Genomic DNA, 26,423 nt, shown 5'->3' with positions numbered 1-26,423 from the left:
GGCCTGTCCTCTAGGGGAAGCTTTAGTAAGAAACAACATTCCAAAATCAGGCAGTGAGCGAGAGAGAAGGCAAGGGACTGGATGACCACAAAATAGATAATCAGCCAAGAAACAGAAATGAGGGAAAACCAGCATTAAAGCATGACTTACAAAGGGTTTTTATTTTGTAATTCTGTAATTTTGGGACCAGGCTCAAACTTGCTCAAGTAACATTCACTCGATCATATTGCTTACAATCTGTCAGTTAAAATGATGTCTAACTGAGCATATTTTTTATTAAATATACTTCTCTCAAAGGCCAGTAAAGCTACTCTTTGGTTTTAATTAGACAAACTAGTCTAACCACTTAAATAACTCTAATGAATATGAACTGATATCATCAGATTTAAAAGCTCTGCTGAAAACTAAATTTATTCTGAAAAGCACTGACTTGCCAGAAAAATATCTATTTTTGCAGCTTTCTTTTCACTCTATGGATAATTTAATGAGTTGCTTATTTTAATTTTACAACTGCTACCTCAGAAGTATCTCAAATTATCTTTCTTTGGCTGGTGTCTTTCTCTGCTGATCTGCTACTGCTGTGTGTGTGTGTGTGTGTGTGTGTGTGTCTGTGTGTGTGTGTGTATGGGCGTGTGTGTCTCTGTGTGTGTTTTCTAGTGGGAATTTAACAAGCAGTGAGTCTCTTAAATTTACATGCCATAATCTATGTCAAGAACATTGCGTACTACTTAGCAATAAAAATAAACATTAGCATCTAGTGAAAGCTTACCATCATTGAGTGCTATGGAAATAGAGGTCTTAAAGAAAGATTAAATTTTTCAACAAAAAAATTTTTCCCCTTTTTGGCTTAAAGGTGATTATAATTTCAAAAATATGACATCTTTCCTCTTTTACTTTGGAATGTAGAGCTGCTGCTTTAACAAGTGTCTTTTGAGAAAGATACACGTGTTTCATAAAGATTAATACCCTTAAAACACTATGGTGCAGAGAGGGAAGGATGAATTCTTTAACCCTGCCTCTAATCTCATTTGGCAATTTTTGGAGTATTCATTCTGACTTTTTAAAAATTCAGGTGGATTTTTTTTCTGCTTTCTTTCCAACATTATAAAACAATCCTATAAGAGATTTTTCTGCTATAGTGCAGACTTTATTTGTATTTCCTAGTAATAACACTTTAGATTCATATAGTACTTTGACAGCTCTCTATAGGTTTCATTTGATTTCCTTATCAGTCATGTAAGGTAGGAATCACCAATCACCTTTTACAGATGAGGAAAGTAAGGTGCAGAATTATCTAACACTACACTGCCAGTAAGATGTAAAGACTAACTCAGAGTCTTTCTTCAAATTTTAAGGAAATTTGTGTTTGTTCCTCTCTAGACCATGCTGCCTTAAACTCCACTAGGGCATCAGAGGGAGCTGTAGGCATTATTTTCTCCTATTTTGATTTATTTAATTAAATTAAAAACATTTTTTACAAATAGTTTTCAAAATTTCAGGCCTAATGGAAAGTTTTAACTAGTCTTCCTAAGACAGTATTTCCCTCTCCCACAGTTAGACACTCAAAGAAAGCAGGACTCTTCCTCTAGTTGACATACCATCTAAGTCATAGTTGCTAATTCCCCAAAAAACAAATACAAAGAATAAGAAGAACCAAAGCCAAGATGTACATTACCTTTACTTGTGAATCATAGAATCTGGGTTCTGGGAAGGTTCTCAGAGGTCACTTAGCCCAGCTCATATCTGATACATGAATTCATGCTGGCTTGTTTTGTTTCAATCCTCTGGAATTTCATCCCAGTCTTGGACACTGGGTACTTGTTTATCTTGGTAGATGTTCTGATACTTATGTGGATCATGAGCTTGGCTGATCATTTCCCATTTTGCCCAAAAGGTATACTTTCTATAGAGACTCTAGCATTCATAATTTTATTTTGTAAGTATTAATTGGCAACACATAATTTGCCATTATGTGCCAGGAACTGTATTACAATCTGGAGATTCAAGAACAAGCAAGACCAAATGGTCCCTATCTTGGTGGATCTTGTGGCCTAGAGACAAAGACTGGTCTCTTTATTTGCTCCAATCCTTAGAAGGGGACAGACCTCTGGACTCATAAGATTCCTTTTTTCAAGAGAACACAGTGAATAAGATTAAAAGCCTGAGTTTAGGCTTTACTTCCAACCGCTTGTCAGTACCCAAAAAAGTCAATCAGTCACTCTTGATCTCTGCTTCCTCACACATAAAACAAAAGAGATGTTCTCAGAATAAACTCTAAATTCCACTTCCGTTCCAAGTTTGAGTGATATAAAAGATATAGTCTATAACTATTTCTTGCAGTGTAGGGGAAATTAAGGCCTAAGTTACCCTAACCTTTGGTGATTTACAATTCTGGGTGGGTACCGCAAATTTTTAACTTGTTAAGAAGTATATCATGAAAAAAATCAAAGTAACATATTTGAACCCAGAATAGAAGGAATCTAGGTGTTGAACCTGTTCATTTATGGAATGATGGCTAGGAAAGTTTTAATTTAGAGAATGATCTCAAATTTCTGCGGATTATTTTTAAAAGCAGGTGGTGCGATGGAAGACCTGCTATCAAATTTACTGCTTATTTTCTTTGTGCAAGCAGAAGTTATAATTTTTCAGGTCATTTCCTTTTAAAATCAAAAATATTACATCCTGAAATTGCCTGGGTCTCATGAATAATGCATTATATACACATGATAATAGATAATTAGATGGACAAGCCAAAAGAAACATGAAAGGAAGCAGGTAGCCCAAGGATTGCAGAAGGTGTGTGGGCATTTTGACATCCAGGAAATGCTATAGATCTGTCCTTAACTAACTCAGCCTGGTGGAGATAATTAAGAAAAAAAATGTGGGTGTAGAAAGACTGCAAGCCATTCCCTGGGATTGGCTAGATTGCTGCAGTAGTTCAAAAACAATTGGCACAGCCACCCACACTAGACATGATTGCCCTTTGATGAGGCAGCTATTGACTTTTATAAAGATGTCATATTTAAAATAACTTCTGATGCACTAGGCATAACAGACATCATTCTTGAATTCTATTTTAGACAAATGGCAAAATGTATTACAAAGTATTAATTTAAAAATAAAAAATCTTTAAAGTCTAGTGTCTAAAAACCAGCAGTTTAGTAACATGCAACCTCTGGATTTAAGAATTCAGCCTGAAGCTGGGAGAAAGCTGTAGCTTGTATAGGACATTTTGATCCACTCTGGGCATTTCCCAGACCACTACAGGAAGTAAAATGTACTTTGTCAAAGTTTTTAACCTTTGAGTGAATGTTAAATCCACTCCAAAATCTTCGCAACCTGGGAAAGGTGATCCAACAATTTTCCTAAATAGCGGCAGAAAATGCTCTGAGATCTTTGTTCCCAGAGTGAATGTTATAATGTTATGCTATCTAGAAATTTCCTTGTAGCACCATGCTCATCAGTACCAAAAGGAGTTAGAATTGATTCCTCCCGCTTCAAGGAAATATATCAACCACCTCCTGTCTCTAAGTAACAAGGTTACTGTGGGGAAAAAATACACAAATTAGGTGATTGCAGAAAGGTGTCACAAACATCCAAAGCCTTTGGGATAGGGCATTGCAGTGTGAGTGAATAGAGAAAAGAAAGAGAATGTGGGAAAAAATTGAGAAATAAAAAGGGAAGTCACAGTGGAGTTCTAATTATACAGGGGCTCTTGAATTGACTGTTCTCTACCTTCCATGCTCATTGTTGTTCTGGCTACTTTAGTAGGAAACAATGATTTCTTCTGCTTTCACCTTCCTCCTCCGCTAAGGACTTCTTACTTGCCAATAACTTCCATAATCAATGTTTAAGAATTGCTCTGATGCCCAGTGTGGTGGCTAACGCCTGTAATCCCAACACTTTGGGAGGCCGAGGTGAGTGGATCACTTGAGGTCAGGAGTTCCAGACCAGCCTGGCCAACATGGCAAAACCCTGTCTCTACTAAAAATACAAAAAATTAGTGGTTCATGCCTGTAATCTCAGCTACTTGGGAGGCTGAGGTAGGAGACTAACTTGAACCATGGAGACAGAGGCTGTAGTAAGCCGAGATCATGCCATTGCACTCCAGCCTGGCAAAAAAAAAAAAAAAAAAAAGAAAGAAAGAAAGAAAGAATTGCTCACTGTAATGACTTTCATGCCATGGACTCAACTCTCTTGGCAGTCTGGTAAAGCTTATGTAAACCCTTCTCATAAAAATGTCTAAATGGGGCCAGGCGCGACGGCTCACACCTGTAATCTCAGCACTTTGGGAGGCCAAGGCGGGTGGATCACTTGAGGTCAGGAGTTCCAGACCAGCCTGGCCAACATGGCAAAACCCTGTCTTTACCAAAAAAAAAAAATTAGCTGGGCGTGGTGGCATGTACCTTTAATCCCAGCTACTTGGAAGGCTGAGGCACGAGAATCACTTGAATCTGGGAGGTGGAGGTTGCAGTGAGCCGAGATTAGCCACTGCACTCCAGCCTGGATGACACAGTGAGACTTTGTCTCAAAAAAAAAAAAAAATTCTAAGTGAATGAAATAAATGTATAAGATTACAAAGGAAGCCAGTGGCATTGATGTACAGTTATAAAAACATTTAAAATAATATATTGTGTGATATAGTAATATATATGCTTTTTAATACATTAAATAAGATCTAACAGCAAGGTAAATATTATAATTTTGAAATAATGATAAGTATCAATGTATTTTGAAATATCTATAAAACTGACGTGATATGAAGGTGTCTGTGATGTATACTGGTGAGAAAGCATGCAAGTACTACTGTGTAACATTTCCCACACATATTTAACAACAGAACACTTGAGAAGCACTTATTAACACAGCATAGATTCAGAAATATTAATTTAGTAAATGTCAACATTAGCCATTGTTGTTTCCTTCCTGGCAAAAGGAAATCAGCATTGGGAGAAAACTTTTAAAATTCACATTTGCCATTAGACAAGCTGTCAAGTGGGGAAAGGACCAAATACTGAGAAGGCCAGGGTATGGTAAGCATGTTTCTATTGACTGAGCTTGCTATTACTCTAACGTTTATCTTTAGCATCACCAGCACAACCCCATTACCCTAGCAATCCATCACTCCATTGAAAAAGATAAAAAGTTCAGATTCTGGTCATTAACTCAGCATTGCTTAAGATACCTGTTCTGACCTCACTAACCCAAGAGATTACTGAAACTCTTCCTGTTTGTCATTACTACACCATGGGAAATTATAATGATGTGGGATGACATTTACTCTGCATTCATCCAGTGCTGTTATTTGTTTTGTATTTGGCATATATTACTTAACTCTTAAAGTAACTCTCAGAGATAGATTAAGAAAACTAGAGCTCAGAGAATTTAAGTAACTTGCCCAAACTAACACAGAAAATCTGAAGTGGAGAAGCTAAACTTCAAACCCAAAGTTTTCTGGTTCCAAAGTCCATTATGAAGTTGTGCCTCCCCATCTTATAGCTACCACCCAGATTTAATCTGGGTCTCCCATTATCAGATGGTTTACATACACATTTTCTTACAAGATCTTGACCACAACTCTTTGAGATGGCCATGAGTCTCACAATTCATTTCCAGGAGTGCTACTTTAGAATCATTTTGATCTTTGCTAACCGATGAGAGATTTTCAAATAGCTAATTGTCACCTACCCTTTTTGAAGCCCAGTTTTCATAATCATAAAATGGAAACAGTATTACAATGTTTTGTTAGGATCATATACATTAATAATAAAATCTAACTTTGTTGAGCTCACTATGGTGAGCATTCTGCATTTCCTTAGTTCATTGAATCCTCACAACAATCTTTCTAGGCTAAGACGATTATTTTTCTTTTAAAGATAAGGAAACTGAGGCATCAGTAATTAATTAACTATCTTAAATTAGCAGAGCCAATAAGTGGCAAAGCTGGGTTCAAACCTAGGTCTGTCTAATGTCAAAGCCCTTTTTTTAATCACTAATCTGCAAATCACTATTCAATCTTAGCTTTTATTATTATAATTATCATCACACTTAAAACACTATCAAGATACAGAATGATCCAGACATAAGTATATAGTCACTGAAGAGATTAGAATCTGAAACTTTTCACCTGCATGTTCTTCCTTCCACTTTAGTTTATTAACCCAATGGATGATGTCTGACTCCTTTCTTAACTTGTTTAGGGCAGTTCCAAGTTAGTTGACTTCTGAGAGTTATTGAGTAAGAAATGTTATAAATTGTTTGGATTAGGATTTAGTATGTTTAGAAGCTATTTCATAAGTTTGCCTTTGCGAACTGTTACTGGCTATAATACTGCAGATGCTGTGATGAGGAACACCCTCTCCAAAGACACACAGTGGATGACAAACCTCCAAAGCTAACATGTTGTTTACAGATATGGAGAAGAAGAGGATGGACAAGCACAGTCTAAAACGTAATTACAAGGCTTATAGTCCCTGTTGGGGACTAGAATGTTTATTGGCTTTCCTTGTGCAATTCAATGCTCTTCCTCCAAAGGATCCACTCCAAACTTGGAACTTTCCTGAAAATAGCATCTCATTTGGGAGCATGCCAGGAATTGGTGTCTGGGTCCTTTGTGTCTTTGCACCAACTCAGAACTCTGGATACTAGCTCTAGAAACTAAGCTGGGATATATTCTGGGTAAGGGAGTAGCATATCTACTTGGGCATCTTCCTGATACATTTATTTCATCCATCTTCCTCCTAGAGAGCACCTCCTAGAAAGATGTGGTTTTAAATGAGGGATTGGATGCATACTGGTATGTCTTAGCACACAAGTCAGTGGTCTTTGCAGAGCTGCCAAAGGCATATAAGTAATCAAAGATGCGGAAGTCTATGAAGAGACTTCATCCCACCTCCACTCTGATTTATTCAGGGAAGGACCCCATGAACACATAATGGATTTGATACGTCCCAGAGCTCTGAAAGCAGCCTAGCAAAAAAGGATAATCTTGAAGGACATTTTGATGTATGAAAAAGTCCACCTAAAGCTTTGTCAGAGATAACTAAGTAATATGATGGCTGGTAGACTGTAAGTCCTTACCTTGGCTCAGGAACTGTATATCATTTGGTAAACTAAACTTGTCGTTCAAATTTAGATAGAAAAAGTACCTTACAAATGATCTAGTTCACTGATTCCCTTCATGCATTGAAATCACCTAAATCATCTCTTCTTTCTGAGATAAGGTCTGAATGTGTTGCCAGCTTTAGCAAACTCAGTTTGTAGCCCACTGACCTCATTTGATTGATTGGGCAACTGAGGTGCACAGTGGTAGATCTCTCAATTTATTCAATAAACAATTATATGGCCCTTACGATATCTATCTGAACAATCTTGGGCTAGTGAAGTTGCTTGCCCAGGTTACATGGCCAGAAACTGACAGTTTTAAATTAGGACCAAAGTTCTTTTGACTACTATCTGGGCCTTAAAATAATATCATATGACAAAGATATTTCTTCTGTTTCCTAATAGTCACATCAAAAGGAAACAATGGACAGTTTGTGCAAGATTTTAGTTACTTTAATGTTCAAAATAAAATTAAAAACAGATTATTACTAAAACATAAGCATAACAACACTTTAATAGCATTCTAATCAGATATTATTAATTTCAAAATGGTAGGACAAAACTAATTATACTTTATACTTCTTAAATATCCTATAGTTACTTTATGACTATTGAGACACTAGCTAAAACTTGAAACTTCAAGTTTTCATTGATTCCTATATTATTACTTATTTCAGAGTTACTTCATTTGGTTCTTTTATCTGAGATTGGACAACAGCTTTATTTGATTTTCAGCGACAAAATTCTTTTCACTCCTGATCCTCCACCCCAAGAAAACAACAGCTACTAATATATTTTCCCTAAAGTGATCAAGAAATAAAAGAGGAATTCTAGCCAGGCGCGGTGGCTCATGCCTGTAATCCCAGCTCTTTGGGAGGCTGAGGCGGGTGGATCACCTGAGGTCAGGAGTTCGAGACCAGCCTGGCCAACATGGTGAAACTCCGTCTCTACTAAAACTTAAAAAATGAGCCAAGTGTGGTGGCGCATGCCTGTAATCCCAGCTACTTGGGAGGCTGAGGCAGGAGAATTGCTTGAACCCAGGAGGCAGAGGTTGCAGTGAGCCAAGATTGCGCCATTGCACTCCAGTCTGGGTGACAGAGTGAGACTCTGTATCAAAAAAAAAAAAAAAAAAAAAGAGGAATTCTAAAATTAATTATATCTATTAATATCCCTACTCTTAAAACGTTAGAAAATGTTTGCTCATTTAAAATTTTTATTTTTAAAACCACCTTATATTCCAACTAAATACTCTTTGGAGCAATTTCTTTGTTCCTCATATAATATCCATACATATAATTCTGCTTTTGTGATTAACTTTTATTACTACTCTTCTAAAATTGTGCTCTTATAAACATCAGTTAATTAAGAGTAAATCTGATGTTTTATAAATTCTTTCTAGAAACAGAGAGCAAAATCATATAAATAACAATATGAATTTCCAAAAGTACAATAATAAAAAAAAATTAGAAAAAAATTAATCTAGGAAATAGTCAAGAATATGTCAAACTTGTACATACTTTTGAGATAAATTGGCATCATGTAGATTAGCATGATTCTTCTTTATGGAATTCAACTTATTTTTACTCACTTTGCTCTAATTAGTTTTTGTGTGCGGACAAGATGGAAGGTAATGGAAATTTGGCTTGCAAAGTAGTTCTAACATGATCTACATCCACAATCTGGTTATAATGCTATAAGAATATTATGTGGGAATAGTAGTTCAAATCAGTATTTAGTATGAACATAAAGGGACAAACAATGCAAAGCTAACTTAAGTTGTTTACACTTGGAACTTATTTAAATTAAAAAGGCCAGTGGATGGTCATATGTTTGGCTCATTCTTCTCAAGGCCTTCAGGAAAACATGCCTATGAAATAAAAGATCCTCAATATTAAACATTTTACTGCATTTGGGGGACACATGAAATCTGGTAATAAAGGAAGTGTTGGTCTTCATTTTTCTAATTCAGCATGGAAACTATCTTGAGGAAAACTGACTATGGTCTTAGTTTGTGTCTCAGAAATATATTTAGTCTGAATCATGGCGTCGACATCTGACTTCCAAAATTGGATATCTAGCCGTATAGTACCTCACCTCCCACACACACCACCCCCCATTCCCAGGTCATGACTACTGTCCAAGCAGCAAAAAAAGAAGTAATTTCCCAGAGTACATACATGGCAGTGACAACCAACCAAACAAAAAACAATTATAGGGGCTGGAATTTAAATTAATGGCTGTACTCTCACCAATTCATTCCCCATTCCACCCCATCTCTCTGTCTTCAACTTTTATGAAACATTATATTTGTCCTATTCTTCTGTATCAGCATCAGCCTTTCCTATATCCAACTAGACTTATAACTTCTTGGTGCCTCTCACTGGCTGACTAAGGTTTCAGAAGTACCTACTTACAGCAAACACTTGCAGCAGTCTCTTTTTGGTTACAAAGTCCCTGGACAATTTCTCAAGGCGATATTATGAAGAGGAAGTAAACATTCTCCTCTGCTACCCCATTTCTTTTTAGAGTGCTAACTTTATTCTATATCTGGTTTAATGTCTTCTTAGGCCAATTGGACTGATTTTACAGACACCATAGAATATCTCCTGAGTAATGGGAACAATATTTCTGCTGATCCCATGATTTGGTCTCATTGGGTTGTTAGGCCATAATGGAGACATACTTGATGAATTTATGAAGACTTGATTCTAGGTATCATGTAGGTTAGCATAATTCTCTTTTACTGAATTCAACTTAGTTTTATTCACTTTATTCTAACTGGATTTTGTGTGCAGACCAAATGAAAAGAAATGGTTCAATTTAGGTGAAAGGTAAAGCTTCAAAAGTAGTGTAGTATTTCATAGACCTTACCTTTGAGAGAAATTATATCAGTATATAATAAGCACCTGAGAATATGAAAGCACAAATCCAATTTAAATGTGAAAGGTCTACAACTTGGGATTTTAAATGGAGTACAGAAAAGCCACTGTTTCTTAAACAATTTTGTTGAGGGGGAAAACAGTGAAAGCTAAATGTTCTATTCAAGAGTTGTTTCTTTTGAAAATAATGCTTCATTTAAAAGCTAAGGACAGAAGACGTAGCTTTGTTATGAAGGCTCATCTTTTTATTAAACAACCACTACTTTGTCTCCAAGTTGCAAAGGGAAGATTTGTCAATCTGATTGAATCTTCCCTTTAGTTTTTCCCAACAGCTGTGTCCAGATAATTCATGACTCCTGTGTTTCCTGAGCCCTGGATAATTTCACACACATGTCTGGTTTGGGGCTCCACATTTTCAGAAAAATATAGAAATCTTGGAGGAGGTCCAGGGTAGACCAAGGGAAATGATTAATGGGTTGAAAGTTGGAGTTTATGAAGAAAGGTTGTGAGATCTGATCTTTTGCTACGAGAAAAGTCTGAGTGGTGACTTAATAACATAAGGAGGTTAGTAAGCAGCTGTTCTCCATCTTCACTAAGGTTGAATGAAATGAAATAAGATATAAATTGCAACAGGAACAAAAATGCATTACAAGTGAGGACTTCCAAGCACCAGCATTGCTGGATTCTAGATAGCTCCCCAAAAGAAGGATGTGTAGTCTACTTCCCTGGTCTGCAATGACAGGCCTATAAATAGTGAGAAAGATGAGATAATCTCTTAAGATCCCTTCTGGACCTATCTTTTATAGGTCTATCTATCATATTTAGAAAAATTATTTGCCTCAAACAAAAATTATCTGATTTCCTCCCTCTCACCCTATCCACTCCTTCTCTTTTGTCTACCTTTTGTAAAACACTGCTAACCGAAATAACTGGGGACTGATTAACCGTGGTGGGCCCTCCCCCGCCTCTAAGTGCCACTCCAGCTTTGGGAGCAAGTTTCTTGTCCATCACTACCACCCCCTGGCCACTAGGGGCATGTTTACCATCATCTTTCTACACACCAAACCTACGGCAAGGGAAAATAAAACAAAACAAAACTTCCTAGACTTAACAAATTTGCAAGTGTCACCATGGATTAAAATACAACTCTTATGTCCTAGAATATGAGCATGTAAAGGGCTAAAATGTATTTTATGCATCTGCCTGTATCAGCCCATAGAATAGCCTCCTGACAGATAGTAGATACTCAGCAATCTTTCATCAACTGAATGACTGTAACTATGAAGTGAAAGGCAACTAAAGTTGAGAAAGTCAGGAGTTTCGGATGTTTCCAAATGATTCTGTATGCCAGACTAATCTAAAGCCTAACCCATTCTTCACAACCATGCACTATTAAGGATTTCATTCTCACCATGCCTGTGCTATCTGGAGGTAGAAAGAGGGCCAGTTGCACATCCTGCTCAAGTCCTTGGTCAAAAAGACCACTAAAGAGTGCTTTGTAGATTCATGTATCAGAATCACATGAAAGTAGGCCAAATTCTTAGTGTGTGTTTTTAAAATAAGACTTTAGGAAGTTCACTTATTTTTTTCTAAATTATTTTTGCATATTCTTCTTTTTCATTTTTTTCATGAAGAATTTAAAATTTGGCTGTAGAAAATCTCTCACTCCAAACATCACACAGCCTAAATAGGTGAGTCTCAAAAATAAGCTAATGTTCATCTTTCATCTGATTCAATGTCCTGAAACCCTTTGGTTTAAATTTGTTAATTCTTCTCATGGCTTTTCTCCTAGCAAAACCAACTAATACCACAGCTATTTATTACTGTCAGCTCTAACTTATGCCCACAATCTCACATCCCTTTTGACCACGCTTATAGAACTATTACAACAAGTAAACCAAATTTATTCTTCATTATTAATTTTTAAATGTTCTCAGCACAAATCTGGTAACTTGGAGGGCTACAAGTTGATATTTCTCATATGTTTGGGGGTTTAGTCTCAACAGTTTCTTAATGGTTTCTATGCCGTTTTTCTTGATCCAACTAAATATTATTCCCAGATGGGATCAGCTTTTGACCCTCTTGTTCTACTCTCCTAGTCTTGGCCCTTCTAAAAGTTTCTTGCTGTGGTTCCTTTCTTTTGTCTGCCACTAATGGCTATGCCTGGTTACATAACTCCTGTAACAGGTGTTGACCAATTTGAACACATTTTGGTATGGTATTGAGCTATTCTTATGGTTCATAAAAAGCTTAGTGAGAACGTAACATCTCATGAATAGGGAAATTACTTCTCCCTTAAGGTTTTTCTCAGGACAGGCCTCATACAAGAATTTCAAGGATTGCGAGTGACATAGTTTAACATTGGACCAGGCCTTTCAAATTATCCAGGATGAGTTTGAAAACACCTGTGCCACTCTGCTCAACAGCAGAGTTTTCTGTTTACTAAGTATTTTCCCTATGCTAATTACGGAAAGTTTCAACAGTTTTTTTAGGCCAACTTATTTGATGCTAGACTAGACAACTTATTTTTTTTTTCTTGCAAGGAATACTGAAGGTAGGAGTAACTAGGAAGCTTAAATAAACATAAATATAAAATGCTTATAGTGATAGAATTGACCTCAGCCAATTAAAATTATTAATAGAAAAAACATGTCAATGTCAAGCCTACTACCTCTGTTCTCACTTGAGTAATGAGGATTAGTTTATATTTCCCGACAAGAATAGATGGGAATTCAAATTTCTTCCTGACCTTTGTTCCCCCTGGAACATTGGGTTAGGATCATATTAGAACATAACCAAAAAGAAATAAAGATTCAGACGAATTCACAATTAATTTTTAAGCCCCACAAAAGTGAAATAGGTAGCATTATTTTTTCAAGCTGTGAAACTTTCCCTCATTTTAGTAATAGAGAAAATGTTCAGATTATAAACTTGGAAACTTTGCTCCTAACATATCAATTATGCCAGAGGCCAATTTTTAAGAAGAAGAGAAATGCATGCTCTATATTCTCAGCATCATCCTTGCCCACAATAGGGAAATAATTTTGTAAAATGTTTGATTTTAGACCTCCAAAATTATCTCTATATGCTACCTGAATTAAGCAAATAAAAAATAATATTTAGAATTCCATGCAAGGCACTGGTACAATTTTGTTTATCTTGGCTTCATTGTTTTTGAATGTAAGATGTACTTTTAAGGCAAATAAGTACATGTTTTAAGCTGGTCGCATACAGTATTGGCAATGCTATAATCACAAATCAGAAAGTTTGGAAATGCTTACAAGTGTTAAGAGGTGTGATTCATCATGGTTATCTGAATTGGCATCTGATCTTCTTTTCTTTCTAAATATCCCTGACATTTCTGACTCCTCTGTCTTTTCCTCAGTAAAACTGCACCACACACTGGAAAGCGAAGATACACACATTTATTTATATAATGTCAAGGGAGAGTAGGAATAAGAAGATTGGCCATAGACCCACCCAATCAGAGTCTGGGAAATGAGAACACTTTTTCCTTCAGCAGAAATGCTGACGTGCCAATGTGAATTTAGCAGAAAAAAGATTTGCCATAACTTCTAAGTGAGCAGCCTTCAGAATGCTAGCTTAGATTCCTGGCATTAACTTGCCAGGTATTTTTTCAGGAAGGAAATAAATTACAATTGAGCTTAAAAACCTGAGGGTAGAACTCATTTTCAAGCAAATGTGAAGCATCAGTTTGAAGTTAACAAAGTTAAAGTTTGGAGTAGGGTTCCTCCAGTCCTTTATAATGTAGTACAAGTATTTTTTTTAAATGTATAACACTAGCCTTTTAAATTGTATTGTGCTACTAAAAGAAATTGTGCCTGCATTCATCTTACAACCTGGGAACCAACGCAGAGGGTCTGTGGGGTAGCGGTATCCAGCTTCATGCCCTCTGTCCTTTATTGCTTTCTGGTTAGCCTGCGTATTTCACATACATTAAATATTCCACAATAAACTCTGCCATCTGTGCTGTAGGGTAGTTTGTATTGGTCATGTGCTCTGTCAAGTTGACAGAGGTGCAAAGCTAAATGTGTGACACTCGAAGAATATGCATATATTTGAATAATTTGACTATTTAGTCCAACAATTTGCAAAGGCGCTCTGAATGATCACACATTCTGATAACACTTCCAAGGAACAGATAGCTTCACTTAGGGGGTGGGGGAGATGGAAGCAGGGTTATTTCTAGCAGGAATTCTTGAGTTCACTGAAGTCTTGTCCCTGGTACTTCACTGTGTGAACGTGGGTAAATTATTTCCTGGCAGAGGATCGGATTCTTCTTTTATAAAACGGGTAAATAATTTCTGTCACTAGTCTTTAGAAGTTCTAAAATAGCTAATGTTAGTGAATTCATTTTGCTAACTGTAAACCCTTAGGTAAATTGAACTGAGTATGTAATAATATTATATATTCAGTTCAACAGCACATTCTTGGTAACCACAAGAGGGTCCAGGAAAGGAAACTGTTTATAAATCTTTCCCTTTAGCAAAATTAATGTTGGAGTCTTTAGGGAAATTCTTACAGCAATAGTCTTCGCAATTATTAGGTCAAACCCCTTTGAGATTACAGAAAAACGCACACACACAGAAAGCTGCCTGCAGAATTTGGGTGTGGGCTTGGTGGGAGATTCCTCTGATACCCAGTGTTGTACCCCCAAGAGAGTGTTTCTCAAAGTGTGACTTCAGATTGTCTGCATTCGAATTGCTTGTGGTATTTATTAAAATTATAACTCCTGGGCCCTGCCCCACCCCTACTAAATCACAATTTCAGGAGGAGGGACCTTCATTTTAACACTCACCCAGGTGATTTTTATGCTCCGAGGAGGTCCAGGGACTCCAAGTTAAGTACGGTACTGCTGTCTTATTCTTTATTCTAAATTTTAAGGTCTGCACAAATTGGTTGAACTAATGAGAAGAAAATTCAGCTTTAAAGCAGAAACACAGGTAGACGGTTGACAGAGTTCATCAAATGGATAATTGAAAATGTCCTCTGGACCCTAGCCATATAAGTTCTCTTCAAGGGTCTTGGCTACAGGCAAATGAGAACCCGAAAGGCTATTTGCTCTTTTGCTGCGGGCAGTGGTGGGGGTGGAGGGCGGGGGAGGATTAACTGAGCCAGTTCTGCCCCCACCCTCGAATCACCTACCCCCACTCTGGTTAAAGCAGAAGACTTTTTATTTATCTTGGCTGCCCTGGTTCGTTATTAAAAGGGTTAGCTTATACGTGTGTTTGCTGGGGCTGGAAGTGAAAACATCTGCAAAAGCATGCAATGCCCTGGAACGGAACTCTTCTAATAAAAGATGTATCATTTTAAATGCGCTGAATTTTGATTCTGGTAATTCGTGCACTAGAGTGTCTATTTCGAGGCAGCGGAGGTATCATATGACAGCGCACGTCAAGGCACCGTGGAGCCCTCTCGTGGACTCCCACCCACTTTCCCATTCACCGCGGAGAGGGCTGCTCTCGCTGCCGCTCCCCCCGGCGAACTAGCATGAAATCTCCCTGCCTCTGCCGAGATCAAATGGAGCTTCTCGCTGATGGGGTGCGAGTATTACCTCCGCCATGCAATTTCCACTATCAATAATTTAACTTCTTTGCTGCAGAACAGAAGGAGTACATACCGGGCACCAAAGACTCGCGCCCCCTCCCCCCTTTAATTAAGCGAAGGGAACGTGAAAAAATAATAGAGTGTGGGAGTTTTGGGGCCGAAGTCTTTCCCGGAGCAGCTGCCTTGATGGTTACTTTGACAAGTAGTGACTGAAAAGGTGGGTTTGTTTTCTTTCTTTCTCTTTCCGTTTTTCTGTTTGGTCGGCTAGAAAGCGTGTGGCTTTAGCGAGGTCTGTCATTGCCTGGGCTTCCTGGCTGGAACAAGTAACTTGGTGTAACGTTATCTGGGGGCGTTCATCAATAAAAAATGCTGTTATTATCTTGATTGAATTCCTATTAGGCAAACTCTAGAGAGGTCAGTGCGCGAACTCTGTTTAAGCCGGCGTGTTTAAGGCAGCAGAGTAAACCAATAGCCCCCATGCTCTGTGCGATTTCATTGTGTGCTCGCGTTCGCAAGCTCCGTAGTGCAGGAAGGTGCGGGAAGGTGTGTCTGTGGCCCGGGAAACGCACGCCCTCTCCCAGAGAACTTGGGTGCTGGGATGGGGAGGAAGGGGAGAGTTGAAAGCTAGGGGAGCGAGACCTCGGGGCGTGCGATTCTCACTCGCTCCCTCCCGCCCCAGCGCCCACAGCCGGGGTTTCTGCAGAGGGCGCGGGACGCGGGGTTCCCCGGGGCTGAGGCTGGGGCTGGAACACCCCTCGAAGCCGCGGGCGTCCTGTCCAAGGCGCCCCAGGAGGGCGCAGGACTCGCAGGGCGATGTCGCGGGGCCCTAGGGGAGGAGGTGAGGACAGGCCCCGGGGGAGCGGGGAGTTCCGGGCGCCCCTCGGTTCCCCGCGCGAGGAAAAGACGCGGCGTTCCCTTTAAGCGGCCGCCTCGAACGGGTATCGGTAGCGCGGGCGAGCGGGGAGCGGGGGGCGGGGGGCGGGGGGGGGGGGGCGGCGCCGTTTGACCAATCGAAGCTCAACCGAAGAGCTAAATAATGTCTGACCCGGGCGCAAGGCGCAGCCTGGAGCTCCGGGTCCCCGACGCTGCCGCCGCCGCGCCCGGGCGCACCCGCCCGCTCGCTGTCCCGCGCACCCCGTAGCGCCTCGGGCTCCCGGGCCGGACAGAGGAGCCAGCCCGGTGCGCCCCTCCACCTCCTGCTCGGGGGGCTTTAATGAGACACCCACCGCTGCTGTGGGGCCGGCGGGGAGCAGCACCGCGACGGGGACCGGGGCTGGGCGCTGGAGCCAGAATCGGAACCACGATGTGACTCCGCCGCCGGGGACCCGTGAGGTTTGTGTGGACCCCGAGGTAGGCAAGCGCTGGGAATGGGGCTTGGTGCAGGAGCTGCCCGTCCGCGGGAGAGAGTTGACTGGGGGATCCCCCACCCCAAAGTTGTGGGACGAGGCCAGTCTCCTTCTTTCCTCCCCTCCGGTAGAAGGGACGATTTGGAGTTACTCTTGGGGAGTTTTCTCCCCCATCCCACAACCCAGAAGGTCAGCCGGCACCACCAGGGAAAAAGGGACCCGGGGAAGTCACGAAGTAGAGGAGGGAAGGCCTGGAGGAGACCCAGAGCTGCGTGATGGGAGCAAAGACGGCGACCCGGGGATCCCTCGCAGCCCTCCCCCAGCCCAGGAGTAGTCGAGAGAGACTTAGGGGGCCAGAGCTGTCGAGGGTCCTGACTGAGGGGAGGGTGCTGGGGCTAGGCTAGGAATCCTTCCAGGGGGTGGGTGGTCCCCGCGCCGACTTGCGGGGGGAGTGGGAGGGAAGCTTGCGCCTTCAGCCCGCATCCCTTCCCCGGAGCTGCACACGGCTACCTGCTCCCCAGGAATTGAGACTGAAGTGGACTTACAAGTCCGAAGCCAATGTAGCTTGGAAAACTTGGGAGGCGGAATTCCTACCGCTGGGAACTGAAAGGGTCTGCGACACTCTCGGGCAGGCCGAACCCACATCTCTACCCATCCTGCGCCCCTCTTCTGAAGCGCCCTCCAGGGAAGTTAAGAGTTTTGACTTTCGGGGAGTGGTTGGGATGTACGTGGGGGATTCTTGACTCGGGTTAGTCTCTGGGGATGCAGAGCCGGGAAGAGGAATGGGTGAGTGAGTTACTCCTGGAAAGAAATAGCTGAGGATTGGGGGCTCTGTGCCTGACGGGCAAGAAGAAGGGGAGATTACAGACTAGGGGCATCCCTAAGGAAGAAGCCTCGGGGCTGCGAGGGTGAACTGGAGGATGCAGTGTTTGTGTGTTGGGGGTAGAGCGGGGATGAGGGACCGGGGTGGAGGGGAGGCGAGGAGGAGGAGGGGACCCAGAGAACGAAGCTAGGGAAGGTAGAGGGTGCCCTCTGCCGGCCATGCTGCCAAGAGCAGCTACTGGGGGCGGGAGGCTGGGGGTGGGGAAGTGGTAAAGGAAGGTTTTGCGGGATCCCTTAGAGAGCTGGTAGGAGGGACTTGTTGAATGGTGCTGCTGACTCCAGCTCGGTGGGGCGTGCGACTCGTCGTCGGTGGATTTTGACTCCTCGTTCTTGTTTGGCTTCTATGCAAGTTTTCCTCGCGCTGGGGGAGCTTTGATAAGCCTCGATTGGCGGTGTGTTAGGGCTTCTTGGATCTTATTTTAGGGTCCTCTAGTTATCCTGCACTTACTCCTTAATGTCAGTAGCAACCAAAGAACATTTTCCGACAAGCACGCAGGAATGTTCTTGGCCAGAAGCAAAGAAAGGCATATTTCTGAGTGTTTATTAATCCTCCTAGTAATCTTTTAAAGCAAAGTAATATGTAATTGGGAACGTTGATTTTCTAACTGCATATAAAAGGCGACATGATATTAAATGAGACCCCTCCCTACTGACTCAATATCCTGCAAAATCTCTCTCTCCCCTTTATTATTATGGAAAAATCTATTTTTATATGAGTTTGTTGTAAGGTCAAAAGCCATTTTGGTCTTACAATTTGATATGTCTTTACATTTTAACTTATTGAGGCATAATTACAGATTTAATTTGTATGAACGTGTGTGCCTTCAATGCTTATCTCATGCAACATAATTTTTAGGTTGGAGATTTCTGATGTTATGGCATGTAGCGTTTCAAGGCATTACACATAATAGGTAACATAGCATGTTGAAATTACACCACAAAGTTTTGACCCTGGGAACAGCACCTTTTAAAAACAATCACTAAACTCCTGTTCCTGTTTTCTGATTTTGCAAATGCCTTGCTTAAGACTTTTTTTTTTTTTTTTTTTTTTTTTTTTTTGGGAAATTTACCTCTGGGTTAGCAGGAGAGGTAAAAAAAAGGAAAGAGACACTTGTTGAAATGTAACCATAACCTTTACTGGAATTTAAAACATGTTGGTCACCATTACTGGAATTCCAGGGCCATAAAGTCGTTGTCTTTTTTTTCTTCTACTTCATTTTGTAAAATGTGATAAATGTTGGTAAATATAGACCAGTAGTAAGTATTATGACACTAAAAGCATTATGTATGTGGAACTATTTTAAGTTATTACAGAACATTTTCTATTTATAAATGATATAAGCAGAAAGAAATGATTTCCAGATAAACAAGGCTTACGTACATGTTTTGAAGCATTAGAACATTGCAGACACTCTTAGACATCACATTTTTTAAAGCAAAATAACAGTAATTTTTCACATACCTTTGGAGCCTTTCATAGCCCATTCAGAGCTGAGTTAGTAGCTGGAAGTTTCCTTTATTTTAAGGTGATATTTTAAAACCATTTAACATGTATAGTAGGTCAACATTGGTGCATCCAGAAAATGAAGCATTTAGGAAATCTGTTTCAGTGTCTTTTCAATGTGTGTAACTTTTACTTGCAAACCAATGGAACCAAGAAAGTCATCATTTGCCTAAAATGCAGTCATCACCTCAAATGATTCATTTATACTATGTGAGTTAATTGCCTTCATCTCATTAATGGCCAAGGAGGGAAGGGAGGTCCTGGGGTATTTCTTGTTCATTTTGACTCACCAGGAGGGAAAATCCTGTAAAAAAAGAAATGCAAATTTCTAAAATCCTGGCTCAAAGTCCGTGGGTTTCCTGTTTAAAAGGGGCGCCATGAAAATGTAAGCTATTCCCTTTTTCCTGGAATCTTTAAGAGTCCCAGCTTTTCAATAGTCAAAATGTAGATGATTGATATCATTTCTTATATGAATAGCACTGGTTTGTAGTTCAGCACGCACAGTGAGCTGGGCACGCCCACCTGATAGTATAGCAGAGAACTTGTTTACATTCTTTTTACATTCATCTTCTAAAACCTGGGGTGCTCTCTCTCTCTCTCTCTCTCTCTCTCTCTCTGTGTGTGTGTGTGTGTGTGTGCGTGCACGTGCGCGTGTGTGTAGAGGGGGAGAGAGAGAGAGAGAGAACTGTGAACTGTGAAATATAACACAGCCAGCAGCTTTGGGTCTCAATCGTAGACTTACTCTTAAGGAAATTTACAGAATGGAAAGGTCATGTTCAAGTAGTTTATTAACATTTTGAGATGTAGGAAATTAATCCCGGAGTACAGAAGAACAATTTCAGACTTCCTGAATAAAAACAGACAGCATAGAGAGTGGATGATAGCTAAACTCTGAATATCTTTTGAGAAGAAAGGCACTCCCATTTCAGGTGCCCATAATATGGATTTGATTTTAGTGATTAAAACATTAATTTTCAACTTGCATCTCCCTGTGTGGAAGAGTTCAATTTGTGTGAGGGGTCTCGCCTATCCAACAAAAGTGAATATGTCCCTTTTATAGGGTAATTGCTAACTTGTCTCAACTTGTTTTCAAACAATTGTTATAGAGCACTCAGTTTCCACTAATTGCAAAATTGTTGCTTAATTGAAGGACTCTCAGCCATCTAGTGCAGCCATTCAGCCACTGGCAGGCTCTGTGATCTCAAACTGTGAATTGCATTTTAAAGAGGAATCGAGGAGAGAATTCTGTGGAATTCTAGGTTTTAAGTGCTGGCTGTTGTTCAATGGAAGAGGAAATCATTTGAACAAGAATCGCATCAAGTTGTGTTGTGATAAATTTTCTTTATTAGGATGAATAACATGCACAGATGAGCTTCAAAAGTGAATGAGCAAACTTACTGGTTACACTCTGCATCCATTTACTCTGTTTAGTATGGAGTAATGTTAGGCAATAAATGATGCTGGCAAATGAAATCCGTATGTTATTTGCATGTGGTATTTAAACCTAGGAAACATAGAGTGGCTTTGGTATTTGTAGGCTTAGTCATGTGTGTCCTAAACGTCCTCTTAAACTTCTACTTAAGGCATAGAATTATTTAATCCTAAATAATTTTATACTTAAGTGCCTCACTGGATTTCCAGAATATTTACACTGTAAAGATTTAGAAAGGTCATGAACCCAATTATTGACTATATGGAATCATTATTGATGGCAGATGCAAAATGGAGCTCACTAATGTACTGACATTGAAAACCTTTTGCAGGGGAGAGGAGGGGGAGTGGTAAATGTGTGTGTTCTTTAAGTGGAACAGGAAGGTATTCTCTTTTCTGTAGAAAAATTTGAGTATCTGGTCAGATAAGTGTGGAAGCTTTCATTTAAATTAAGTATTTAAGTTCAAGTAGAAGCTCTAGGGCACTTATCCTCTTGATGAGACAAATCTTATCAAATATACTAGATGCTAAGAAGTGGCTCATTGCCCTGATGTCTCATTTATAGATTGATGTTTGAGGATGGGTTGCATTAAGTGAGTTAGGGGGCTGAGTGTGGGACAGGAGAACGATTGGAAGGAAGCAAAGTAAATTTACAAGCTTTAGTGACAGCCATAATAAAGTAAAAGTTTATTTCCAGAGAGCCTAGAGAGTAAGGAACGTTATATAGTTTTCCCCAAAGGTTCACTTGAAAGAACTTTTCATTGGTTGTCATGGTAGTAATGTCCTGATTTTGAAATCTCCCAGAACCTAGTAGCTCTTAAACATGCTTTCATCTTGGTTCCTTTGGTCTGACGGAAACTTTATGACGACCCTCTGTGTTTTTGACATGCCTCTGCATTTTTGGAGAGAGGAGGTCAGGCAAGGGAGGATTTCTTAAAACTAAGACAGTATAGTAAGGAAACATAAAATTATATGATAAAAAATCACTGAACTTCAAATTGACTTACTGAAATAAAACCTAGAAGGCAACCTGTCGTTTAATTACAACTAGCTTGTATAAAATTAAAATTTATAAAATGGGAATTCAAAGAAAATAAACGGGCAGTTCCAAGTAATTTAAGCAACTCACCAAAAATTGAAGTAATAGTGCCACCTAGAGAACAAAATCACCAGCTTTACTAGCCAAATGGCTTATTTCCATATGAACCATTTTTCCAACGCTACAGTTACTAGGATTTCCTTGTTACCATATTCAGATCTTGTGAGTGTGTATGGGGGTGGGGGTTGCATGTGGAATTACAGATGAAATTTTAAAACAAGCAGATCCACAATTTGATATATGCACTAAATCCTTTTAACGTTGTAATGTAGCCAAATGTAGAATAGCATGCCAGGAATCAACGGCTAGCATCCTTTTTAACATTTATTATTTTCATGGATATGTACCAAACCGAACCATTGAGTATAAAGGTTCTGATTTTATTTATTTGCTACAGGCAATTCATTATACTTTCTGAGATACAATAACACCAAATAATTTGAGTAGAGAGACCTTTAAGAATGTTTTCGATTTATGATCTACCTTTAACTTTAATGTACTCAGAAGATGTGAGAATAAAATAAAGTCAAATATAAGCAAGATTTTAAACACACACACAAAAAACAAACAAACAAGAAAAAGGAAGAAAATTATAAGGATTGCCTTAACCTTAGAATAGATGAAGGTATACATCTGAGCCAGCACCAAAAAAAAAAAAAAAAAAAGTTATGGAACCAGGAACCAATAATTACAAATTGACTTAAAATTCTTGGATGACAAAAATCTATATTTAGTTCATTTTTGCATGCGCCCACAACAGCATCCAAAACAGTTCTGGGGAGGCACTTTGATAAATGTTGCTGAATGCACTAATAGATTGATTAATGGCTGCTTCAGATTATCACTAGTGATGTAGACAGAAACTTCATGAAAATGGTTTGTCTTGCTGGAAGAAAGGCAGAAATTGGAGGAAAAGGTTTAATAATATTTTTCCCCAGTACCTATTATAAAAGTCATTTAGTTGGCTTAGTTCTATAATTTCTTATGTGTAATTTGATTCACTTATGAAATTGTGAATATATGAAATGTTAAAGTTGATTTAGACAGCAACTATAAGCTTGTGGATTTTCTTTTAAATGTCTTCAAATTTTTAAATGCCAGTGGAGATGCCAGCGACTGTGCTTCAGGGAGTAGAATATAGTATATCTTAAATTTGTGCCAATTTCTGGTAAGCAGAGAAAAAATTGCATGATAACCAAAGAAAGTCATATTGTTTGTGCTTTGTGTTATTCATGGAAGCAATCAGGTGCAGAAAACTTTCTTTTTCAGAAAAAAAAAATTACTAAAATAAAGGTGCGTGTGTGTGTATGCACATATATCTAAAGGGAGAGAGGGAGAAGGAAACTTACTAAATAAAATTTTTGCCACATGGGATTTAGTCTAATCAGTCTTGGTTTTGGAGTTGCTATCATCAGTAGTTCCATTTTGTGATTCTTTCTTTCTGCCTTCATGTGCCTTTGAAAACTGAAACTATGCCCAAATTAAAACAAGTTTTTCTGTCTTTTCACATGTTCACTTATTTCTTGAATGTGTTTTTAAACACAGACAAACTTCTTTTACATCATGTAGAATCTGAAGGTCGAGAAATTTGCAGTCATTTTGCTGGAGAGAGATGCTTGGCGGAGTCCCAGGCCACATTCCTAGGCCAAACTCTCGAAGGTATTCCTCTTATGCAACATTGGGAAAATACATCCAGCACCGACATGTTGGCTGATAATGTGTCTGAAGGCACAGACGATATGCTTATCATATGAAACATAAAGCCAGCAGATATTGCAGACATTCTGTTGAATGATAGAATCTGGATCATTTACATTTACTTAAATGTAAAATACTATGATTAAGTACAAAAAAATCAATTTAGGAGAGAATAGAGAGTTGCGGGCACGGTTTTAGGGGATGACTTATCAGCAGATTGTAGAAAGGAAGCTTGAATGTTTTAAATTAACTGCAAGTTCAGTATAAGCCAGTGGTGTGACAAGAGGCTGTTATCATAGCTACTGAAATTTTGGGCTGCACTGCTAGAAATATAATACTGAAATGGAGAAGCTAATAATTCTTCACTTTTTAAATAGACTGTATCTAGAATATTATCATCAGTTCAAGGAAATGAAATAAGTTGTTTTAGGTACATCATCGATAAATTAGTGTACATTCAAATCACTGTGACCAGGATGCATAGGGAATTTGAAAGCATTGCATGTGAGCAATGGTTGAGGGGACTTGGAATGCATGACTTAGGGACAAGAAAACTTAGGCTGGAATGGCAAGTGGTTTTTGAATGTTGGGTTGAGAAGAATTCTAAAACTGTGAAGGATTAGTAAAAATAACATTCAGATTGCTAATGCCTACTGTGGCTGGGAGATTAGAGTGTCAACATGTGTGATGTATTTTTGACATCCTTATTTTGAGGATGGGCTTCAAAGATTTGACGAACTGTCATAAGTGTAATTTGTGTTGCTTCAGACAGCAGTTCTAGAACCAATGATGTAAATTTAGATACTCTACATGGTAGTTAGAAAACTTTCCATTAATTTAATTTAGCAAATATTGAATGCTCACTGCATACAGAGCACTTTATTAGAGGAATATATAATAAAGAAAAAAGAGGTCTGGTGTGGTGGCTCATGCCTGTAATCCCAGCACTCTGGGAGGCTGAGGTGGGAGGATCACTTGAGCCCAGGAGATCATTACGAGTCTGGACAACATAGCAAGACCCCATCTTTACAAAAGACAAAAAAAATTATCCAAGCCTGGTGACAGGCACTTGTAGTCCCAGCTACTTGGGAGGCTGAGGCAGTAGGATCGTTTGAGCCCAGGAGGTTGGGGCTGCAGTGAGCCGTGATTGTCCCACTGCTCTTCAGCCTGGGTGACAGAGTGAGACCCCGTTGGAGGGAAGGAAGGGAAGGAAGGAAGAAAGGTAGGAAGGCTGAAATGAAACCCTTTTAGAAATGACACTAAAATGGGAGGTTGGAGTAAGGTATTTTCTGAAGTGCCTTTGTACTTGTTTTTTTCTAATGCATTGGCCATAAGTCTGCTCCTTATTTATAGTCCATAAACAATCCTAATGAGAACAGTTATATATTTCTGCCTTTGAATCATCTACTTGAAGTGTTTAGCATCATGAATTGAGTATCAGAAATCCCTCCCATTTCTTTGCAAAGCGCTGTATTTTACTTTTCCTTATTTGTATACAGATTCTCAAAATTGGCTATTTTTCCTTTGGGTTAGACAGAACAGAATGTCTGGAAAAAAAAGTTCTTATCAAATTCAGGTGCCCAAATTGCTTAAGAAATTAACTTTTGAGGTTATATTTTTTTAGGGTTCAGTAGCTAAACTAAGAAAACTTCTCACCGTTCACCTTCACTTTTGGAAACCACAAAATCTTCAGATATTACAGTTTTCCAAAGAGTTTCTCTTTTTAAATATAAACTAAAAGGAATTGACTCCTCCCCCAACTCCCTCAGGCCTCAGCATGGATAGAGTTACTTTTTTTCTTTAATAATTTATTTATAACTTATTTTGCTCTTCTGTAGAACAGCTGGAGATTAAGCAACATGGCCATGACATAAAATGCAAGTTAGACCATAAGATGAGCAGCCCACTCCAAGTATGAATGAGTACTTATTCTTTGTGATCTCTCATACTGCTTTTAGGTATTAATAGTGTCAGTCAGCAAAGCAAACAGTTTAATATTTACATCTCCTTTAGGATATCATATAGTTTATAGTTTGTATGTGTTCTTGCGTGTATGTTTTCTTCTGTTTCAAATTCTTTTTTCTTAAAGTAAGAATGTTATATGTAGCAAATGGTTCTTTCATTAATTCATTTGTTAATTCACCGTGCATTAATTGAGTGCCCAGTGAGTGTCAGGCACTGGGCTACTTGGATTTCTTTTCCCTGTATTGATCCATATATCTTCAGGTGCTCCTTGATATGGCTCTCCATTGACTCTCTCATATAAGGCTTTCATTACCTATTCACATACTCCCTCCCAAAGAGGACTGGTCCAAAAGTAAAATCTTGAGCAAGTTCTCTGAGTTATTTCAGAACTTCTTGCCCCCAAACTGTATTTTTAATTATTGACTGGTAGCATTTTGGAATAACTTACCTCTCTTTTTTAAAGATTGAAGTTCTTTATCCTCTCTGATTTTCAGGTGTCAGTTTGTGTACAAATTGAGACAATAAAAATGTTTGTTAGACATTTTCTTAAAGCATTTTGCTATGTGAGAATCTTTCATGAAGAACTCTTTTTAACAATGACTCTATAGCAGAAGCCACAGTAGAGGGAGAACTACTGAATCAAAGATGGTGTTTGAGTCTATGATTTTATGATGGATTTTTTTTTTTTTTACATACAAGGATATGCATGGGTCTTTTAGTATTCAGGAATCTGTTCTTCACTTGACAGTATTTATAAATTGTGTGTTTCCCCCTAAAAAAACTTAAATTGTGAGAATGCTTCCATTTACTAGAAGTTGGTTAATGATTATGCCAAATAAGGAAAATAAGACAGAAAAATCAGTTTAGTGAATACTATTTTGCCTTTAAATTTAGTAATTTAGTAACAGTATCTCTTTGGGGTTTACTAGAAACCACTTTTTAATCCA

At 39.1% G+C, this 26,423-nt stretch overlaps 1 protein-coding gene and 1 long non-coding RNA gene across 18 annotated transcripts in view; one reads left to right on the top strand and one right to left on the bottom strand.

Moving 5' to 3' along the window:
• Positions 1-26,423, top strand: part of BDNF (brain derived neurotrophic factor) — a 67,138-nt gene that overhangs the window by 4,966 nt on the left and 35,749 nt on the right. For 3 of the 15 annotated variants that reach the window (NM_001143809.2, NM_001143810.2, NM_001143811.2), the window contains exon 1: positions 16,012-16,094. In NM_001143809.2, coding sequence (NP_001137281.1) covers positions 16,029-16,094 — 66 coding nt within the window. In that variant the 5' untranslated portion in view covers positions 16,012-16,028. 15 annotated transcript variants of the gene reach the window in all.
• Positions 18,894-26,423, bottom strand: part of BDNF-AS (BDNF antisense RNA) — a 191,320-nt gene continuing 183,790 nt past the window's right edge. For 2 of the 3 annotated variants that reach the window (NR_033315.1, NR_033313.1), the window contains one exon: positions 18,894-19,587. This is a non-coding gene — a long non-coding RNA (BDNF antisense RNA). Of the gene's footprint in view, positions 19,588-25,924; positions 25,960-26,423 lie in introns of all 3 variants that reach the window. The other variant, NR_033312.1, reaches the window with a different exon arrangement.

Source organism: Homo sapiens, chromosome 11 (genome assembly GCF_000001405.40).
Source record: "Homo sapiens chromosome 11, GRCh38.p14 Primary Assembly".
In the NCBI taxonomy this organism is placed as follows: domain Eukaryota; kingdom Metazoa; phylum Chordata; class Mammalia; order Primates; family Hominidae; genus Homo; species Homo sapiens.
This window is presented reverse-complemented; position numbering and strand designations above follow the sequence as displayed.